The 18393-nt window shown below is 44.2% G+C and overlaps 1 protein-coding gene and 1 long non-coding RNA gene across 10 annotated transcripts, besides 10 other annotated features; one reads left to right on the forward strand and one right to left on the reverse strand.

Moving 5' to 3' along the window:
• Nucleotides 1684-10050, reverse strand: ENSA (endosulfine alpha). 8 transcript variants are annotated; one of them, NM_207042.2, is made up of 5 exons: nt 9852-10050; nt 7905-8030; nt 6917-6964; nt 6080-6246; nt 1684-3297 (listed from the first exon to the last, which is right to left on the reverse strand). In NM_207042.2, the coding sequence occupies exons 1-5, from the start codon at nt 9906-9908 to the stop codon at nt 3282-3284; spliced, it is 414 nt and encodes a 137-aa protein (NP_996925.1). In that variant the 5' UTR covers nt 9909-10050; the 3' UTR covers nt 1684-3281. The 8 variants fall into 8 exon arrangements, with proteins under 8 accessions (NP_996925.1, NP_996928.1, NP_996929.1 ...); NM_207045.2 differs by lacking the exon at nt 9852-10050 and adding an exon at nt 9499-9577; NM_207046.2 differs by lacking the exons at nt 6917-6964; nt 9852-10050 and adding an exon at nt 9499-9577.
• Nucleotides 3091-3385: a silencer, noted in NCBI's record as "tiled region #6366; HepG2 Repressive non-DNase unmatched - State 12:CtcfO, and K562 Repressive non-DNase unmatched - State 14:Gen5'". NCBI's record gives its function as "represses a minimal TATA promoter and a strong SV40 promoter by Sharpr-MPRA in HepG2 and K562 cells {active_cell/tissue: HepG2 | K562}" and the evidence as "EXISTENCE:reporter gene assay evidence [ECO:0000049][PMID:27701403]".
• Nucleotides 6613-7144: an enhancer, noted in NCBI's record as "H3K4me1 hESC enhancer chr1:150598651-150599182 (GRCh37/hg19 assembly coordinates)". NCBI's record gives its function as "activates a minimal SCP1, AML or CMV promoter by ChIP-STARR-seq in primed H9 embryonic stem cells {active_cell/tissue: H9 hESC(primed)}" and the evidence as "EXISTENCE:reporter gene assay evidence [ECO:0000049][PMID:30033119]".
• Nucleotides 9765-10034: an enhancer, noted in NCBI's record as "active region_1697". NCBI's record gives its function as "activates an Ori minimal core promoter by ATAC-STARR-seq in GM12878 lymphoblastoid cells {active_cell/tissue: GM12878}" and the evidence as "EXISTENCE:reporter gene assay evidence [ECO:0000049][PMID:35858748]".
• Nucleotides 9765-10744: a biological region, named in NCBI's record as "NANOG-H3K27ac-H3K4me1 hESC enhancer GRCh37_chr1:150601815-150602782".
• Nucleotides 9777-10744: an enhancer, noted in NCBI's record as "NANOG-H3K27ac-H3K4me1 hESC enhancer chr1:150601815-150602782 (GRCh37/hg19 assembly coordinates)". NCBI's record gives its function as "activates a minimal SCP1, AML or CMV promoter by ChIP-STARR-seq in naive and primed H9 embryonic stem cells {active_cell/tissue: H9 hESC(naive and primed)}" and the evidence as "EXISTENCE:reporter gene assay evidence [ECO:0000049][PMID:30033119]".
• LOC112268239 (uncharacterized) lies at nt 10257-16164 on the forward strand. 2 transcript variants are annotated; one of them, XR_002958362.2, is made up of 3 exons: nt 10257-10431; nt 10897-10940; nt 15269-16164. It is a non-coding gene; the product is annotated as an uncharacterized LOC112268239 (long non-coding RNA). The 2 variants fall into 2 exon arrangements; XR_007066603.1 differs by having other exon boundaries at nt 10257-10940.
• Nucleotides 10745-11714: an enhancer, noted in NCBI's record as "NANOG-H3K27ac-H3K4me1 hESC enhancer chr1:150602783-150603752 (GRCh37/hg19 assembly coordinates)". NCBI's record gives its function as "activates a minimal SCP1, AML or CMV promoter by ChIP-STARR-seq in naive H9 embryonic stem cells {active_cell/tissue: H9 hESC(naive)}" and the evidence as "EXISTENCE:reporter gene assay evidence [ECO:0000049][PMID:30033119]".
• Nucleotides 14827-15452: an enhancer, noted in NCBI's record as "OCT4-NANOG-H3K27ac hESC enhancer chr1:150606865-150607490 (GRCh37/hg19 assembly coordinates)". NCBI's record gives its function as "activates a minimal SCP1, AML or CMV promoter by ChIP-STARR-seq in primed H9 embryonic stem cells {active_cell/tissue: H9 hESC(primed)}" and the evidence as "EXISTENCE:reporter gene assay evidence [ECO:0000049][PMID:30033119]".
• Nucleotides 15453-16078: an enhancer, noted in NCBI's record as "OCT4-NANOG-H3K27ac-H3K4me1 hESC enhancer chr1:150607491-150608116 (GRCh37/hg19 assembly coordinates)". NCBI's record gives its function as "activates a minimal SCP1, AML or CMV promoter by ChIP-STARR-seq in naive and primed H9 embryonic stem cells {active_cell/tissue: H9 hESC(naive and primed)}" and the evidence as "EXISTENCE:reporter gene assay evidence [ECO:0000049][PMID:30033119]".
• Nucleotides 16079-16704: an enhancer, noted in NCBI's record as "NANOG-H3K27ac-H3K4me1 hESC enhancer chr1:150608117-150608742 (GRCh37/hg19 assembly coordinates)". NCBI's record gives its function as "activates a minimal SCP1, AML or CMV promoter by ChIP-STARR-seq in primed H9 embryonic stem cells {active_cell/tissue: H9 hESC(primed)}" and the evidence as "EXISTENCE:reporter gene assay evidence [ECO:0000049][PMID:30033119]".
• Nucleotides 16705-17329: an enhancer, noted in NCBI's record as "H3K27ac-H3K4me1 hESC enhancer chr1:150608743-150609367 (GRCh37/hg19 assembly coordinates)". NCBI's record gives its function as "activates a minimal SCP1, AML or CMV promoter by ChIP-STARR-seq in naive H9 embryonic stem cells {active_cell/tissue: H9 hESC(naive)}" and the evidence as "EXISTENCE:reporter gene assay evidence [ECO:0000049][PMID:30033119]".

The raw sequence follows: 18393 nt of genomic DNA on the forward strand, positions 1-18393 counted from the left end.
CAGTCAGATTTTCTCTTCTCAGAATTCTACTACTTGACTAACCATATGCTATCTTGCATTATATGTAGAAGTGTCTCAATTAGGTTACATGTTCCTCTAGAGCAGAGATGACCTCTTACACTGTTTATCTGGCCAAAAACAGCTTATTTTTCCAACTGCAAAGCGAGTATTCAGCAGTCACTTGGGACTTAAAATATTGCAGCCCAACCACGGGAGGTCCCACTTTATCTTTACTAGTGAAGTCATCTGTCTTTAATAAAATTCAGCTAACAGCTTATCTCCTGACTCTCCTTCCCTTAGCTTAGCTACTGGAACTCTGCTTAGAACTATAAATCTGCCTGTATTTGTGTGCTGCTGTCATATCTCAGGTTCCCCAGGATGGAAGAGATCTTTCTTTTTAATCTCCCTCAAGACCCAGTAGAGGGCATTATACAGACGAGGGCTGCTTGTGTGGGTGCTGTTGGCTCACTGTGGATATATCCTCAATGGCAACTCTCCAAGTTATTTTTCTTTGCCTGTCTTTGATATGCCCAGCCCACACCAGCTTAAAATAAAAGCTGTTGGACAGTAACGGTGACTTCATCCCTGCCACCCTGTATATTAGATGGCTCAGCTTAGTGGCTTGTCAGCACAATCAGGTTGGAGGAGTGGAAGAACCTTTGATTCAACTCTTTGGGATAAAGACTTTAGAATACATCTAGCTAAAATAATGAGCAGGAATAACTATTAGAAGCATTGCAGAATCAGTTTGCTTTGCTTGCCTAGCCCTACAGTATGGGAGTGAAGGAGATGGACTGTCAAGTTTTAAAATGGGATACATCCTGCCAAGTGTGCAGTGGTGAAGAACTAAAAGGAAAAAAAAAAGGCTAAGGAGTAACATGAAATACAGATAGCCCCAAACATTTTTGGCACCCCAGGCTTCTTAAGGCCACAAATTAAAATTGAGGACCAGGGAAGCCAGGAATAGTGGGAAGAAATAATATAAAAGCCTAAGATACTAACTCAAGCTCTTCAGCTAACTAGCTTTTCTACTTTACAAGTAACTTATCTCTATACCTTAATTTCCTCACTTGTATTAAAATGAAATTGCACTAACTGCTGGGTGTAGTGGTTCACACCTGTAATCCCTGCACTTTGGGAGGCTGAGGTGGAAAGACTGCTTGAGGCCAGGAGTTCAGGAGCAGCCTACACAACAAAACGAGATCCTCTCTACAAAAGAAAGGATGAAAATATATTCTCAGCCAGGCGCAGTGGCTTATGCCTGTAATCCCAGCACTTTGGGAGGCTGAGATGGGAAGAGTGCTTAAGCCTGTGTTCTGAGACTCACCTGGACAACATGGTGAATCCTCATCTCTACAAAAAATAATTAGCCAGGTGTGGTGGTGTGTGCTTGTAGTCCCAGCTACTTGGGAGGCTGAGATGGGAAGATTACTTGAGCCCAGGAGGTTGAGGCTACAGTGAGTGTTTGCACCCTGCACTCCATTCTGGGTGACTGAGCAAGATCCTGCCTCTAAAAAAAAAAAAAAAAAGAAAGAAAGAAAGAAATTGAATGATCCCACATTCAGCCTCATAGACCTCACCTCATTCCCCAGCTGGCAAACACAAACCAGGGATAACATACTCAGGAGGAAATCATGGGATGGCTCACTAACCCCACCACAATAAACACCATTAACTTGTGTCTCTAGTTTAAATTTGTACTTGTTTTATTTTATTCATTTATTTTTTTTAGATGGAGTCTCGCTCTGTCGCCCAGGCTGGAGTGCAATGGCACAATCTCGGCTCACTGCAAACTCTGCCTCCTGGGTTCAAGCGATTCTCCTACCTCAGCCTCCCAAGTAAGTGGGATTATAGGCATGTGCCGCCACGCCCGGCTAATTTTTGTATTTTTAGTAGAGATGGGGTTTCACCATGTTGGCTAGGCTGGTCTCAAACTCCTGACCTCAAGTGATCCACCCACCTTGGCCTCCCAAAGTGCTGGAATTATAGGCGTGAGCCACCGTACACCCGCTGGAGTTTTTTCTCCTTTGGTAACCTTTCTTTTGTACGTTACATTCACAGGCAGCTTTTAACTTCTTTCAGTAGCAGGTTTCCAGCAATGCAGATTGGCACATCATGAGGAAAGAAATCACTCTGCCTCCTGCTGGCCACCAGCAGAAAGACTTGAGTTTCTTTTGGCTTATTACAAAGAAATAATATATTTCTTTTGGTTTGTCACATTTCTCCCTCACAAACATGGGAACTTGAAAAGGAATGGAAGACAGAGGGAAAAGGAGACTGGGCCTCCTTTTCTGCTAAACCTGGACTAGGCTTAGGTGTCAAGAAACCATTTAGATCAAATATCTTAAATGCCTCATTTTGTGAGCCACAAACTGAGGTTGATGCACCTTCTACATTGGTTACAGAAACAAAGGGATGGGCAAGGTTTATGCCAACATTCCTGCTCCCTTTCCTAAGTGATGGTATTGGGGAACTCAGCCGCATCTCACATTAACAATGTCTTCAGTATTGTTTTCTTCCCCCTCCCAAACCCCAATAAAACACACCAACTGCTTCAGAATATTTCTGGGTTGGGTTTTTTCATGGGTTTTTGTTTTGTTTATTTCGAATACTGAAAAAGTCCTTTGGGCTCTGTGGGGTTCCCCACGCTCACGGCTCCTTTCTCCCACACTCACTGCCCTTCTTCCCACAGCAAATCTATTTCAAGGACAGTACTTTTTAAAATGATTAATGTTGAGTTCTCAACTAGCTCTGCAGAACTAGAGGAGCTGTTTGCATCTGTCTGTGCGGATGGAGTTTCTTTTATCTGACACCAGGTCTCCAACCACACTGAAACAAGGCATTTATCTACAGAGCTCAACTAGAACCCCTTTTCATTAGGCTACTCCACTTCCTTCCCCTCATACCTACCCCACATCAGCCACGTGGTTAAGAAGGATAGTCAGGAATGTTTTTACCAACTCCAAGCCCTAATTCATACTCCTCCATATCTCCCACCCCACCCTTTCAACCCCACCCCCACCCCCAGAATTTCATTGATATTTCTCCCAACTGTTATTTGGAAAAAAGGTAAAACAAAAAAGGTTCAAGGTCTTGGTGCTCAGCCCAAGGGGCTCCATGTGCTGGGACACCAACAGGAAAGGGCTTCTGCCTCTCCAGCCCACACCCGAGCCACCTCCTGACCCCTGGCTGCAAAAGCAGGAAGGGGCAGGAGCCAGCACAGGACCCGGGTGGGGCAGGGAGGGGAAGCGTCTCAGGATCTGGCAGAGCCCCGGGCAGCATCATTCAACTTGGCCACTGCGGACGAACACAGAAGAAAAAAAAAAAAAACAACACTGTCAAGTAATAGGGGAAAAAAACCCTGAACTCCAACCCAGTCTCTACCCCATGATTCCTCCACATTTAACAACCATTAGGCTACCTGGCATGTCTCAATCCTATCCATAAGGGAGTTGCAAAAAAAATCAAAAAATAGAATTTCAGTCTTTTCCTATCCACGAAACAACGTTATCTGCCTTTCTGGGATATCCATGGATAACAAACATAGAAAAATAATTCTTTAGATAAGATCAAAATAACTGGAGGTTTCCAGGTGGGTAAGCTGCCTGGCTCAGAGCAGGCTGTTTCAGAGGCATGGCCACAGCTACTTGCAAAGACTGAGGTAGCACAGAGATGAGGTGGTGACTGTGTGGAGGCCAGAACCAGACCACACACATGCTGTTCTGAATGGATTTAATAATCTAGGTTTAATCAAAGCAATTTGCATTTGGATTTTGGAATGACCACTCCTTGCTAAGGAAGCTATGTACTTCATGCTGTGGAAACTGGCAAATACAGAATGTAGCTTGTTTGTTTTCTTAGCCTTGAAGATGACCAGGTAGAGAGACAGAGTGAGACCAACAGTTTTTCTGATTTCCCTGCTCCTCCTATTCCTTCCTAAAAATCAGACTCATTGTGACCAGTAGTCTTGAGGACTCAAGCTGAATGATAGAGAAGGCAGCTCAGACAGAAAAGAAAAAAAGTACAGAATTTGAGAAGATCGGAGATGAAGAAAACGTACAAAATTATATATATATTTATATATATAATAACATGACATATCTATGTACAACATGGCTGGGACAGTTGAAGAAACTATACAATGGTGTTCAGCATTTTCCCCTTCCCAGATGGACTTTAAGGATGACAGCATGAGGAAATGGAGCAAGAAACACAAAAATTATATACAATTACAAGTGACAGTCAAGGAGTTTGGGGACCAGGGAGTCCAGGGATCCTGCTCTCTCCATTCCTTCCTCACCAACTTTCTCCTATCCAATTTGAATGACAGCCTGAACACTGAATGGCCAGTCAGGAGAAAGGCATATACACACCTCATCCCCCCACATGCACATCAGCAAGTCTATCAGTCATTCTCATTGGGCCAAATGTTTGGCATATCAGAATTTGTGATGTGAGAGGGCAAGAGGATTACAGAATCTTGCTCTCTTGAGCATTAGTTCTCACCCTGGTCCTCTCTGTCATAACTAGCAAGTTGCGTTCAATAAAATTCTAGCCAAGCTGGTGGTAACTAGATTGAAGATGCTGGTCACCTGCAACCCCTTTCCTCCACCTGTTCATGAGTCAGCATGGCTACCTCTCCTCATGATAAAAGAGCTGGGTTGCTGAGTTCTGGGGATGCAGAGATTTCTCAGTCTTCCTCCTCTCCCTCCCTAACCACTTTCCCCAGCTTCCTCCAAGGTGAATCATCTTCTAAGAACCTGTTCCTCCAGCCCTGCAGGAGTACTCAGCCCCAGGGGCTAGCTCAGTTTACCCTTCTTCCTCTTTCCCTAACAATATACCTGGCATCAGACTGCATCTGAAACATGGGTCAACACATGTGCATGACTGAGCATGTTTCCTCAGGCCTGCAGCTCCGCTGCCAGAGAAGCTTTTTAGCAGCTAAGGCCCAGAGGTAGGCTGGGAAAGTGGGCTGGGTCAGAGGCAAGAAGCTTCCATGGCTAGCTTCCTAAGTATTTTTTTTTGACCCTCAAGACTGTGATATCTATAAGGTTCTCTTGCCTGAATTTATAATCCCCAAACCTCAATTTACTCTCTCCTCATGTATCCCTCAAATGGTTCCCCTCTGTAGTACTTTCCCAGTATTACAGAGCAGAGGTTCACCACCCACGAGCCTTCCTCACTTTTAGTTTTACAATGAACAGTATGGAGTTTTTCTGCTGGCAGTTAAGACTTCAGAATCAGAATCAATCTTACATACATTTAACTCTATTTTACAGATGAGGAAATAGAAATCCAGAGAGGCTAAATGACTTAATCAAGGTTATACAACAGCTCTGCTGGGACTGAGTAGAGTGAGAACCCAGATATCTTGACTCCTAAACCAGTGCTCGTCCCACTATCCCATGATACTTTCAAAAGCAACATGCTGGAAGAGAGAGAGAAGGTGCCCATTTTCTGTGAATAATGTTCATCAATCTTTATATTATTTGAGAGCCAGAGCAAACTGTAAGAGATACTAAGTAATGGAGGCTAAGGGGGCACTGTAGTTTTAGGCAAGCAAGTCAATTTTTCTTTTTAAGGATTCTCTAAACCTGCCATAATGGAAACATGAAGCAATAGCAGCCTAAGGGACAGAACACTTAGAAGCACAGAAAACATGTCTCATTCAATCTACCTTTCCCAACTACGTTAGGTTAGCCTTGGGATGTTAAACCTGCCAAACTATTCCCAAGGCTCAGCCTAATCAATTTTGGGACATTCTCTCCCAAAAGGAGAAATCACATCTCTCCAGTTTCTCACACAAAAAAAGCATTTGCAGCATTATCCAATCCTAGCCTTTCCTATTTCTGGGCCCTACCTGGACTACAGGGAGTGTGTGGAAGTGTCAATCTAACGAAATAAATAAACTTAGAGCCCCTTTTCAACCTACATTACCTTCTCAGCAGCCCCCAGCAGAATCACAGTCATTTCTGGCTAGCAAGCTGAGAAGATCTGACTAGGTGCCCATTTCATCCCTGCCTATAATATATAAACGTCCAGTGGTTGAGGAAGGGGAGGAGAGGGGGGCTCAGGTTACCCCGCAAGCTTGCTGGTGACGAGCGAGGACTTTCTCTGGGGCAGATCCTGTGGGGTGGGGATGTGATCACCAGTCACCAGGTTCTTGTCTGGTCCTGCACTTGGCAGCTGCTTATTCTTCATCTTGGCTTTGGCCATGTTGTAGTCTCCTGAGTCAAAGTACTTTTGCTAAGAGATAAGAGGGAGGTTTAGGTGAGTGAGGACTCTGGCCTTCCTCAAAAACAAGGAGACTCACATCTCACATCCATTATAAACCCTCATGCACACTCGGATCTTTCAAGAAGTCTTCCTTGATTAACCTCATGCATACACAGTTTAACATTAATTACATGTACTTATGTCTTCTCCCCAGTGTGTTCTGACTTTTTCAGGTACATAAGCAATTTCCCAGCTAGAGTATATAGTTTTGGAGTCAAGGGATAGCCCCTGCCATCCTTTGTACTCCACTCAGTAGAGGATCGTTCCACCAAAATCACTTATTCATAAAGGGTAACTGAGGACCTTACTGGGTACAGGGCAATAGCCTGGAACTGGAGAAACAGAAATGAATAAGATATAGAGAAGGATAAATATGGGGCTATCCTAGCCACCAGGAGATCAACCACAAGCCAACAACCTCAAAATGATTATTCTCCCAGACCAGGAATAGAAACTGGGCCTGTTCATGAGGATAATGTATTTTCCTTCTGACTCTCACAGCTCCCACACATGTTCCATGACTGTGACAGCCTGCCCACGCCTGCCTTGCCTCCAGCAAGGTAAATGCAAATCAGCATCACATTATCATCTGTGACTAAGACTCAATAACTGGGATCCTCCACAGGGATGTTTCACCCACCATTTCATCCGCACAGAGAAGCACACTCCAATGTAATGATTTATAATCCTACAGTCATTGCAGAGGAGAGTAAGGAAAATAAAAAAATTTTTTTTTGAGATGGAGCCTCGCTATGTTGCCCAGGCTGGAGTGCAGTGGCACGATCTCGGCTCACTGCAAGCTCCGCCTCCCGGGTTCACGCCATTCTCCTGCTTCAGCCTCCCGAGTAGCTGGGACTACAGGCGCCCGCCACCACACCCGGCTAAGTGTTTGTATTATTAATAGAGACGGGGTTTCACTATGGTCTCGATCTCCTGACCTCGTGCTCCGCCCGCCTCGGCCTCCCAAAGTGCTGGGATTACAGGCGTGAGCCACTGCGCCTGGCCAAATTTTTTTTTTAAAAAACGATAATATAATCCCTCAGTCAGCTTTAGGTACCTTTGGGAACTAAAAATCTGATCAGGAGCTACATGGCTATGAAAGTAGACTCTCTCTTGGTAAGGAGGACCACTCTGAACAAGAAAAATACATTTGCTGCAGGAGTATAATTAATGGCTGGTGCTCACTTCAAGGGTATGAAGAAACTGATTCATTTCAAGTTGAGGATTTATTTCTGTAGGAGAGATGGTTTGATCTTCTTCTGAAATGATGCATCCCAAAATTTATCTCTAATGCTTAAAAAGTGCACAATCCTAAAACCTCCAACATTCAAACAGGCAAATGCCTGGGGGCAGTCTGCATTTCAGTTTCTAACATCTTTCCCTCATTTCCCCACACACCCAAATGCTCCAATTTAGGCCTTAATTTCCTACATGGGAAATCAGGAGGGAATTGATACCACATCAGGGATTTACATTAATTTGACTTGCTCTTTTCAAATTTCAAATTCGCCTCTACTTCTGTTCAACAACAAAACCTCCAGAAAAGGATCCAGTAGAACCTCTACAGACTTCATTCGAAGAACCTCCTTTAGCTCCAAAGAAAGAGGGTAAGAGACTATGCCCCATACCCCTTTCTGGAGTCTCTTCATGAGGAAGTCGGAGCCTCCAGGCTTTTGTCCTAGGCTTGGGTATTTGGCCTTTAGCTTTGCCTCTTCAGCTCTCTCAGGCAGAATACCTTCTTTCTCCTGCGTGTCCTGGAGAAAACAAATGAGCCAAATAAAATTAAAGACTGAGAAACAACAGCTTCTCACATCTGATAACAACTATACTATCAACTTCTCCTGGAAATCCACCCACTTGTAAATACGCTATCTCTACTCTGCTGTTAAAGCTAGACCTTTGTTAAAATCCCTAAAGCTCAAGATGACTATTGTGAGAGAAAAAGACAAGCTGCTTCTCACACTTCACCCAAGGAACCAGCCAGGGACCTGTGCGTATTGGGCTAAAGGTAATACTAAACACAATACTTTAATCACAGAGTGGGCCATATCACTCAGCACAAATGCTAAGAAAGACAAAGAGAAAAAAGCAGGGCTTCTGGTGATAGAGGATGAGTAGCAGGGTTCCCTAGGCTATCCTACATGTCACATGAGAAATTAAAAAAAAAATAGTTTGGGGCTGGGAGCAGTGACTCATGCCTGTAATCCCAGCACTTTGGGAGGCTGAGGCAGGTGCATCACTTGAGCTCATGAATTCACTACCCGCCTGGGCAATATGTTGAAACCCCGTCTCTACAACAACAAAAAATAGTTTGCTAAATGTTTCCTCCTTATTTTTTTCTTTCTTTTTTAAAATTGCTACACGACAAAGCAGTTCCTTCTTTATTCAAGGTCTAAGCCACCTGTTAGGTCTCCCTGTGGAGGCGGCTAGCTATGTGGCCTTCTCCAAAGATCTCCACCTGAGTAATGGCACAGCCTTGCTTCAACATTTCCACAAATATTATGGTAGCAAGCTGATAAACAGAGAGGAAAATGATACTGTTTTTAACCTCAGGAAAACAAAGATACAGTAGGCTCACTAGTATTTACCCACCAGTTTTCATCAAAAAAATCAATACCTACCCTGGTGGTGCAGGGACTCTCACTACTGTAGTCAATCTCTTTTTTTTTTTTTTGTGGTCCCTGCTGCCCTTTAGTGACTTTTTGAAAAGATATGAAGTCAACGTATGACTCTTTTTAGTGGAATTATATTCCTTTCTCTTGGAAATTACGCATAGATATAACACCAAGTGTATTTAATGAGTACCTGAACCCAGTACTAAATTTTAAAAGTCAAATACAAACCCCAATAAGGGGTTTATTTGGCGTTAGTGTTTCCATCACGGAATCGCAGGTGCACTAAGTCCCTGCCTTGGAAGTCTAGGGGAAGAGAGAAGTGTCTTTCTCACGACCCTGTCGGCGTCTTTTCCAAGTTTAATTACCATGATTCTGTTTGGAACTCTAGCCCTCTTCAATATTGCTGGGTCCTCACTGAAGGTGAGCAATAGACCATCCTTAGCTACTAAAATAGGTCTCTTGAGAAAGTTGCCGCCTTAAACTAGCCATTATAATAACTACACTTCTCCCCTCCCCCAATACTGGTTTTTTTTTAAACGTCTTTACCTCGACCCCTATCTTTGCGGATTGAGGCTGCGGGCCCCAGCCCGGTTGCTGGGTCACTTACCTCTACAAACCAATAACACACATCACACCCAAGACCACCAGCCATCCCCTTTCCATTCACCGTCTTTCCAACCACCCGCCCCACGTCCATGCTCGGCCAATTATAGCACAGCGTCCAAGGTTTGAGCGGTAGGCCTATTGGCCAATCAGGAAGAGTACAGTACTGAGTGACAAACGACCCAACTAACCAGCGCCAAAGCAGCATGTCGTGTTGAAGCTCACCCAGCGTGACGCAAAAAGTGGCCAACCCCTGCGGAGCCTGAGACCATGGCGACCAATCCGCACTGGTGGGAGACCGTCTCCCGCCCCATCACGGTCTCCCCAGCTCGCCCGCCCGCACCCCTTCCACTTCACCTGCTTCTCCTCGCCGGTCTCCTCCGCAGGGTTCTCTTCTTCTTGTTTCTGGGACATGGCGGGACCGGGACTGTGGAGTGTAAGGGGCCCGGGAAGGCAACCGGAGAAGGGAAGGGGGAGGGGAAACGGGGACAACCTGCGCTGCTGCTTCGGCTCCTGTCACTAGGGTTGCTCAGTCAAAATGGCGGCCCTTGCCCGTGACGTTGCGACCGCCCCTTCCTATGAGAGCCAGTGGGAGTGAGGTAGATAGGGCAATGACGTAACGATCTACCAATAGTCGCCGTCTAAAGGTGGGCTCTATAGAGGCGACCGGCAAGCTGGAACACCAACCTGGAAAGAGAGTGAGCCACAAGGACCAATTGGAAGCCTGTGGGGGATATCGGGGGCGGGGCTGCTGGCTGTGGTACTTTTGCAGCTTTGGTGGGCTCCGGCTTCCTTCACTCCAGCCCACCGCGTCCGAGAGACTTAGCAGGGCGTCAAACTGGAGAGCGGAAGGATGGAACCTTTTATTCTCAGGTGGAGAGGATTAAGCTTTGCGGTGTTAGCAGAAAATGATCGAGCTCCAGAAAATGATTTGGAGGTCAGATTCGATTTTAAAGTAGTACTAACAGGCCGGGCGCGGTGCCTCACGCCTGTAATCCTAGCACTTTGGGAGGCCGAGGTGGGCGGATCACCTGAGGTTAGGAGTTCGAGACCAGCCTGACCAACATGGTGAAACCCCGTCTCTACTAAAAATACAAATATTAGCCGGGCGTGGTGGCGGGCGTTTGTAATCCCAATTACTTGGGAGGCTGAGGCAGGAGAATCGCTTGAACCCTGCAGGCGGAGGTTGCAGTGAGCCGAAATCGCGCCACTGCACTCCAGCCTGGGTGACAGGACGAGACTTTGTCGCGAAAAATAAAATAAAACGGTACCAATGGTATTACGATGTGTCACTTGGCCTGTGGAAGAGAGAGACTGAGTCTCAACCCGAGCTGTCTTGCAAAACACTAATGGCTTACGTTCCGTAGTTTCACTCTTATGTGTAGTTTTTATATTCCATCAGGGTGATCCCTTGGGGACTACGCTCCTTGAAACAAGGAGGACAGTGTAAGTATGTGGTAAACATTTGGTAAATACGGTTAATACTAGTTAACCTATCCAGAATTACAGTTTAACATTTCCTGGGCGTCTGTCTGTATGTGGATGGTACTGTGTTAGTTGGGGGGGGTACGTGTATAGTAAGGCAGTCTCTGCCCTTAGAAAGCTTACAGGCCTGGCTGGGCGCGGTGACTCACGCCTGTAATGCCAGCACTCTGGGAGGCGTAGGCGGGCGAATCACTTGAGGTCAGGAGTTCGAAACCAGCCTGGCCAACATGGTGAAACCCTGTCTCTACTAGAAATACAAAACAAGGCTGGGCACGGTGGCCCACGCATGTAATCCCAGCACCTTGGGAGGCCGATGAGGGTGGATCATGATGTCAGGCGATAGAAACCATCCTGGTCAACATGGAGAAACCCCGTCTCTACTAAAAATACAAAAATTAGCCAGGCGTGGTGGCGTGCACCTGTAGTCCCAGCTACTCAGGAGCCTGAGGCAGGAGAATCGCTTTTACCTGGGAGGCGGAGGTTGCAGTGAACCGAGATCGCATCTCGCCACTGAACTCCAGCCTGGGTGACAGTGAGAGTCCGTCTCAAAAAAAAAAAAAAAAAAAGAGTGGCAGATAAGAAGTGCTCTTTATGGAGATAATTTGGTGGTAATGAATAAAAAGACTCAGAATTCCAAGCAGAAAACTACCAGAGATGAACAGTCTAGCCGAGTCCTCTGCAAACGTTAGGTGGGAGATAATTAGGATTTAACCTAGAAACGTAGTAGTTAAGAATAGAAAATAGTGAACCTAACCAAGAGAGTCTGTGACAATGGAATCCACTAGACTAGCAGCTGACTGAATAGAGAATGAGAAGACTGTGTGCCTCAAGGTGATTATTTATAGAAACAATAAATTCAAGAAGAGGAGTCAATTTGGGAATGGAGCTGAAAAGCAGAGAGAAAATAAGGCATTCAGTTTTGAAAACATGGACTTTTTTTTTTTTTTTTTTTTTTTTTTGAGACGGAGTCTCGCTCTGTCACCCAGGCTGTAGTGCAGTAGCACAATCTCAGTTCCCTACAACCTCTGCCTCGCGGGTTAAAGTGATTCTCCTGCCTCAGCCTCCCGACTACAGGTGTGCGCCACCATGCCCGGCTGATTTTTGTATTTTTAGTAGAGACAGGGTTTCGCCATGTTGGCCAGGCTGGTCTCAAACTCCTGAACTCAGGTGACCTGCCTGCCTCGGCCTCCCAAATGCTGGGATTACGGGCGTGAACCACCGTGCCCGGCCTGAAAACATGGACTTTATTAAAAGCGAATGAACCATTTGGTGGAGACATCCAGGCAATGAAGACTTAGGATAAATGACCTCTAAGATCTCCATATCTGAAATTTAAGGGTTCTAGGAAATGTAAGTGTGGGAGTTTGGGAGAAAAGTAGACGCTGAAGATGTACAAATTTTGGACTTTTTCACATAAATGTAAGTAAAGTTGTGGAAGTTGATGGGATCACAAAGGAGAATGTAGGAAAAAAAGAGGTTCCAGTCAGGTGCGGTGGCTTACACCTGTAATCCCAACACTTTGAATGGTCAAGGTGAGAGGATCGCCTGAAGCCAGGAGTTTGAGGTTACAGTGAGCTATGATCATGCCATTGCACTCCAGCCTAGGCAACAGAGTGAACCCGTCTCTTAAAAAAAAAAAAAAAAAAAAAACTCCCAAGACAGAAACGTGGGGAAAAGTTGGCAAAAGACATACAAATGATCAGAGTGGTAGGGAGAGAATTAGAAGAGAGAAGAGCCATGGAAAGCAAATGAAGAAAGGGAGGGCAGGTTGTCAATGTTAAATGTGATACAGAAATTAAAGATGGAGGTGATAGAGGTCAATCGCAAGACGTTAAGGAGCGAGGAGGTGGTACCAATATTGAACAGTGGTAGCAATATTTAACAGTAAAGCAAGGAAAGGGCAGAGCTGTAGCAGCAGATTTTCTTTTGGGGAATAGGCAAGACTCAAGCATGTTTTTAGAAAAGGCGAATGAGGCTGGATGTGGTGGCTCACGCCTGTAACCCCAGCACTTTGGGATTCATCTAAAAGATGAATAATTCTTTTGGGAAATACTTTCTGATCAAGCTATTTCTAATTCCAAGCTCTGCTTAAGAATAATGTGTAAAAACTATGATTGCTAAAGGAACGATTGATTTAAATTATACATTTGTCCTTTTTTTTGAGACTGAGTTTAATTCTTGTTGCCCAGGCTGGAGTGCAATGATGTGATATCTCGGCTCACTGCAACCTCCCCCTCCCAGGTTCAAGTGATTCTCCTGCCTCAGCTGTGGGGAAAAGAAAGAGAGATCAGACTGTTACTGTGTCTGTGTAGAAAGAAGTAGATATAAGAGACTCCATTTTGTTCATCTTGTGAGTCGATGGCGCACGATTGCGGTGTTTCTGTCTCCGTGGAGGTGCTTTTCTTTGCATCTCCGATGGGTTCATTGTAGAACTTCAAATGTCTAGTGGGTATCCAAACAGGAAGCTGATTTTCTCCTGGTGAAACACAAGCAAAACCTCTCCCCCATGTTACCACCTTCCCTATTTCCCATGTCTTATTTTTATTATCTTTCTACCAAATCAGTTTTCCTTCATGTGGGCTGTTCTTTTTACCAGTAAGATGTTGTTCTGCAGAAGTAGTAGTCTGATTTCTATAAATGTTTAAAAAATATAAAGTGCTAGATTAAGTTGCATCTGAGGCGTGGTACATTCCTTACTGTCTCCCCCTTCTTTTTATTTAACTAATTGAGTTTTGAGTGTTCTATTAGTTCTTTCAACTATGGCCTGTCCTTGGGAATTATAAGGAATTCCTGTTGTATGTGAAATTTTCCACTGACTTAAGAATTTTTGGAAAGCTTTACTACAGTATCCTGCCCCATTGTCAGTTTTAATTTTTTCTGGAACTCTCATTACAGCAAAACAAGGTAATAAATGTTTTTTAACATGGGAAGTACTTTCTCCTGTCTGGCAGGTTGCCCATATGAAATGTGAATAAGTATCAACTGTTACATGAACATATAATAATCTTCCAAATGAAGGTACATGCGTGACATCCATTTGCCGTAATGCATTAGGACACAGACCCCTGGGATTAACTCCTGCCTCTTGAGTGGGCAGGTGTAGGACTTGACACTGGGTGCAATGTCGTACAATATCTTTTGCCTGTTTCCATGTGACATCAAATTTGTTTTTTAATCCTGCTGCATTTACATGAGTCAAAGCATGAAATTTTTGTGCTTTTATGAATGCAGATGATACCAGTAAGTCAGCTGGTTCATTTGCTTTAGTCAAAGGCCCTGGTAAATTAGTGTGTGCTCGAATATGAGTAATATAAAATGGGAAATTTCTTTTTCTTACAGTTTGTTGTAATAAATTGAATAGCTGGTTTAACTGATCATCCATGCTATATTTAATTAGAGCTGTCTTTACATCCCTTGTAGCCTGTACTACATATGCAGAATCTGATACAATATTGATAGGTTGATCAAAATCTTGTAACACTGTAATGACTGCAACCAACTCTGCCCTTCGAGCCAATTGATATTGAGTTTTGATTACTTGCTCTTTTGGCCCTGTGTAAGCCGCTTTTCCATTGCTGGAACCATCAGTAAACACTGTCAGAGCATTTTCTAAAGGTTCACGTCTGGTAATTTTAGGTAGAATCCAAGTAGTTAATTTTAAAAACTGGAAGATTTTTGTTTTTGGGTAATGATGATCAATAATTCCCACAAAATTAGCAAGACCAATCTGCCATGCACCAGAATTGATAAAGGCTTGTCTAACTTGTTCCTTGGTTCAAGGGACAACTATTTTGTCTGGGTCATTTACACACAATTTTATTATTTGTAATCTTGCCTGACCAATTAATGTAGCTATTTGATCCAAGTACAATGTAAAAGTCTTAATTGTACTGTGAGGAAGGAATGACCACTCCACAAGATCAGTATTTTGAACAGTGATGCCTGTTGGAGAATGTGCAGTAGCAAAAACCAAAAGTTGGAGTGGGGCTAAGGGATCTATTCTATTTATTTGCACTGACTGAATTTTTTGTTCCACTAATTTAATTTCTTTTATTGCCTCTGGGGTTAATATTCTCTTACTATTTAAGTCTGAGTCTCCTCTTAAGATAGAGAACCAATTTTCGAAGCATCAAAAGCCCATTTAAATTTGGTACCAGAAACTGAGGCAATCGCAGGAGTGACTGATGGCCTCGCAAATCTTAACCCTGTCACTTGGGTTAAGACCATCGGAAGTACTACTATTATAAATTTCGTATTAATCCTTGTGTGCCTGTTTTATCTGTTGTTAGTCTGCAGGTGTACCCAGCAGCTCCGAAGAGACAGCGACCATCGAGAACAAGCCATGATGATGATGGTGGTTTGTCGAAAAGGAAATGGGGAAATGTGGGGAAAAGAGAGATCAGACTGTTACTGTGTCTGTGTAGAAAGAAGTAGACATAAGAGACTCCATTTTGTTCTGTACTAAGAAAAATTATTCTGCCTTGAGATGCTGTTAATCTGTAACCCTACCCCCAACCCTGTGCTCCCTGAAACACGTGCTGTGTCAACTCAGGGTTAAATGGATTAAGGGCTGTGCAGGATGTGCTTTGTTAAACAAATGCTTGAAGGCAGCATGCTTGTTAAGAGTCATCATCACTCCCTAATCTCAAGTACCCAGAGACAATACGCTGCGGAAGGCCGCAGGGACCTCTGCCTAGGAAAGCCAGGTATTGTCCAAGGTTTCTCCCCATGTGATAGTCTGAAATATGCTGGCCGGGAAAGACCTGACCGTCCCCCAGCCCAACACCCGTAAAGGGTCTGTGCTGAGGAGGATTAGTAAAAGAGGAAGGAAGGCCTCTTTGCAGTTGAGATAAGAGGAAGGCATCTGTCTCCTGCTCGTCCCTGGGCAATGGGATGTCTCGGTGTAAAACCCGATTGTATGTTCCATCTACTGAGATGGGGAAAACCGCCTTAGGGCTGGATGTGGGACATGCTGGCAGCAATACTGCTCTTTAAGGCATTGAGATGTTTATGTGTATGCACATCAAAAGCACAGCACTTTTTTCTTTACCTTGTTTATGATGCGGAGACGTTTGTTCACATGTTTTCCTGCTGACCTTCTCTCCACTATTACCCTATTGTCCTGCCACATCCCCCTCTCCGAGAAACGCCCAATAATGATCAATAAATACTGAGGGAACTCAGAGACTGGTGCCGGTGCGGGTCCACTGTATGCTGAGCGCCACTTCCCTAAGCCCACTTTTCTTTCTCTATACTTTGTCTCTGTGTCTCCTTCTTTTCTTAAGTCTCTCATTCCACCTGACAAGAAATGCCCACAAGTGTGGAGGGGCAGGCCACCCCTTCACTCAGCCTCCTGAGTAGCTGGGATTGCAGGTGCGCGCCACCATGTCTGGCTAATTTTTGTGTTTTTAGTAGAGGCGGGGTTTCACCCTGTTGGCCAGGTTGGTCTTGAACTCCTGACCTCAGGTGATCCACCCATCTGGGCCTCCCAAAGTTCTGAGATTACAGGCATGAGTCACCGTGCCCAGCCCATTTATCCTTGATATAGCTAAATTACTGAGCATTAGGAAGGGTGGAACTTTCAGCCTGTAAAATATGAGTGAGGTTTCACAAAAACTAGCACAATGTCTGGGGCCCAGATTATTCTATTTGTGACTGGGCGGGAAGAGGTATATATATAGTAATTTTTGTATTTTTAGTAGAGACGGGGTTTCACCATGTTGGCCAGGCTGGTCTTGAACTCCTGACGTTAAGTGATCCATCTGCCTCCCAAAGTGCTGGGATTACAGGTGTGAGCCACCACTTTGGGCCATAGATCGGGTGATTGGGGGAAGACCTGAGGTATCTGAGCAGAAATCTGGTTGGGGAGTGAGCCAACAGTTATCTGGAGGGAAACTGGTTCAGGCAGAGGGAAGAGCAAATCCAAAGCTCCTAAAGCAAAAGCATATTTTTGGTGTATTTGAGAAACAGCAAGAAGGTCAATGTAGCTAAGAGCCGGAATAAGAGAAGAGATGCAGGCAGGGATGAGATTGTTTTTGGCTTCTTAGGTCATGGTAAGAACTTGGATTTTATTTTTTGTGTAATGGGCACCCATCAGATGGTGTTGAGGAGGGGACTGACACAAAATCATTTAGGTATTAAACTGATCCTTCCGCTGCTCCATGGGGACCCAGAGTGGAAGTAGTAGCAGGAAACCAATTAGGCTTTTACAATAGTTCAGGTAAGAGATGACAGTGACTTGGACTAGGGTGTAGTAGCTATGGAGATGGTTGAAAATGGCTAGATGTGGGATCTATTTTAAAGGTACCACCAACAGCATTTGCAGACTCAAGGATGATTTCAAAGTTTTGGGTCTGAGCAACTAGGTGAATGATAACATTGTTTACTGAGACGGGGAGGCCTTAAGTAGAAGGTTTAGGAGGGAAAATATAGATTTTGCTATGGACACATTATATTCTATACAGACATAATTTAAAATAGTTACCAGGTCCATCAATTGATGGATAAACTATGGTATATCCATACATTGGAATATTATTTGTTAATAAAAATAAATGGTCAGGCGCAGTACCTTAAGCCTGTAATCCCAGCACTTCAGGAGGCTGAGGCGGGTGGAGTGCAGTGGCACGATCTCAGCTCACTGCAACCTCTGCCTCCCAGGTTCAAGCCATTCTCCTGCCTCAGCCTCCGGAGTAGCTGGGATTACAGGCGCCCGCCACCACGTCCGGCTACTTTTTGTATTTTTAGTAGAGATGGGGTATCACCATATGGGCCAGGCTGGTCTTGAACTCCTGACCTTAGGCGATTCACCCGCCTCGGCCTCCCAAAGTGCTGGGATTACAGGCGTGAGCCACTGCACCTGACCACTATTCACTTTAAATGGGTATACTGTATGGTATGTGAATTATAATCGCAATGAATCTATTCTAAAAATATAGTTATTGAAAATATATAATTATAAAAAGCATTATGAAGCTATTCCCCCCCACACCAGAAGCTATTTTAATAAAAGATTTTAACCTACTAGAAATAAAAGGAAAATTAAGTAGTCAAGAGTTCTAATCCTTCTCTGTTAACCACAGGAAACCTGGCTGTTTGGACTGGGTGTCTGTGTCAACAGACCACCACCAACCTGGAACAGTATTTGCTAATAACAAGCAAAGTATTCCTGAGTAATAATAGCTTCTTGATTGTTGGACTCCCATAAAGCAGTCATTATTAAGCTTTTTAACTTTTTTTTTGTTGGGGTGGGGGTGGTGTGCGTAAAGTATTGCATTATGTTTACTTTAGTATATATTGCCACCAGTTTTTCCAAATCTGATCTTTGAGAATCTGGTATAAACTATGGTTCTTCTGTCCCCCAAATGTGCTTAAGCACAAATACATACATGCAATATTATACGTATTTTAGGAT

The sequence above is a fragment of the Homo sapiens genome, chromosome 1 (assembly GCF_000001405.40).
Source record: "Homo sapiens chromosome 1, GRCh38.p14 Primary Assembly".
NCBI classification, from domain to species: Eukaryota; Metazoa; Chordata; class Mammalia; order Primates; family Hominidae; genus Homo; species Homo sapiens.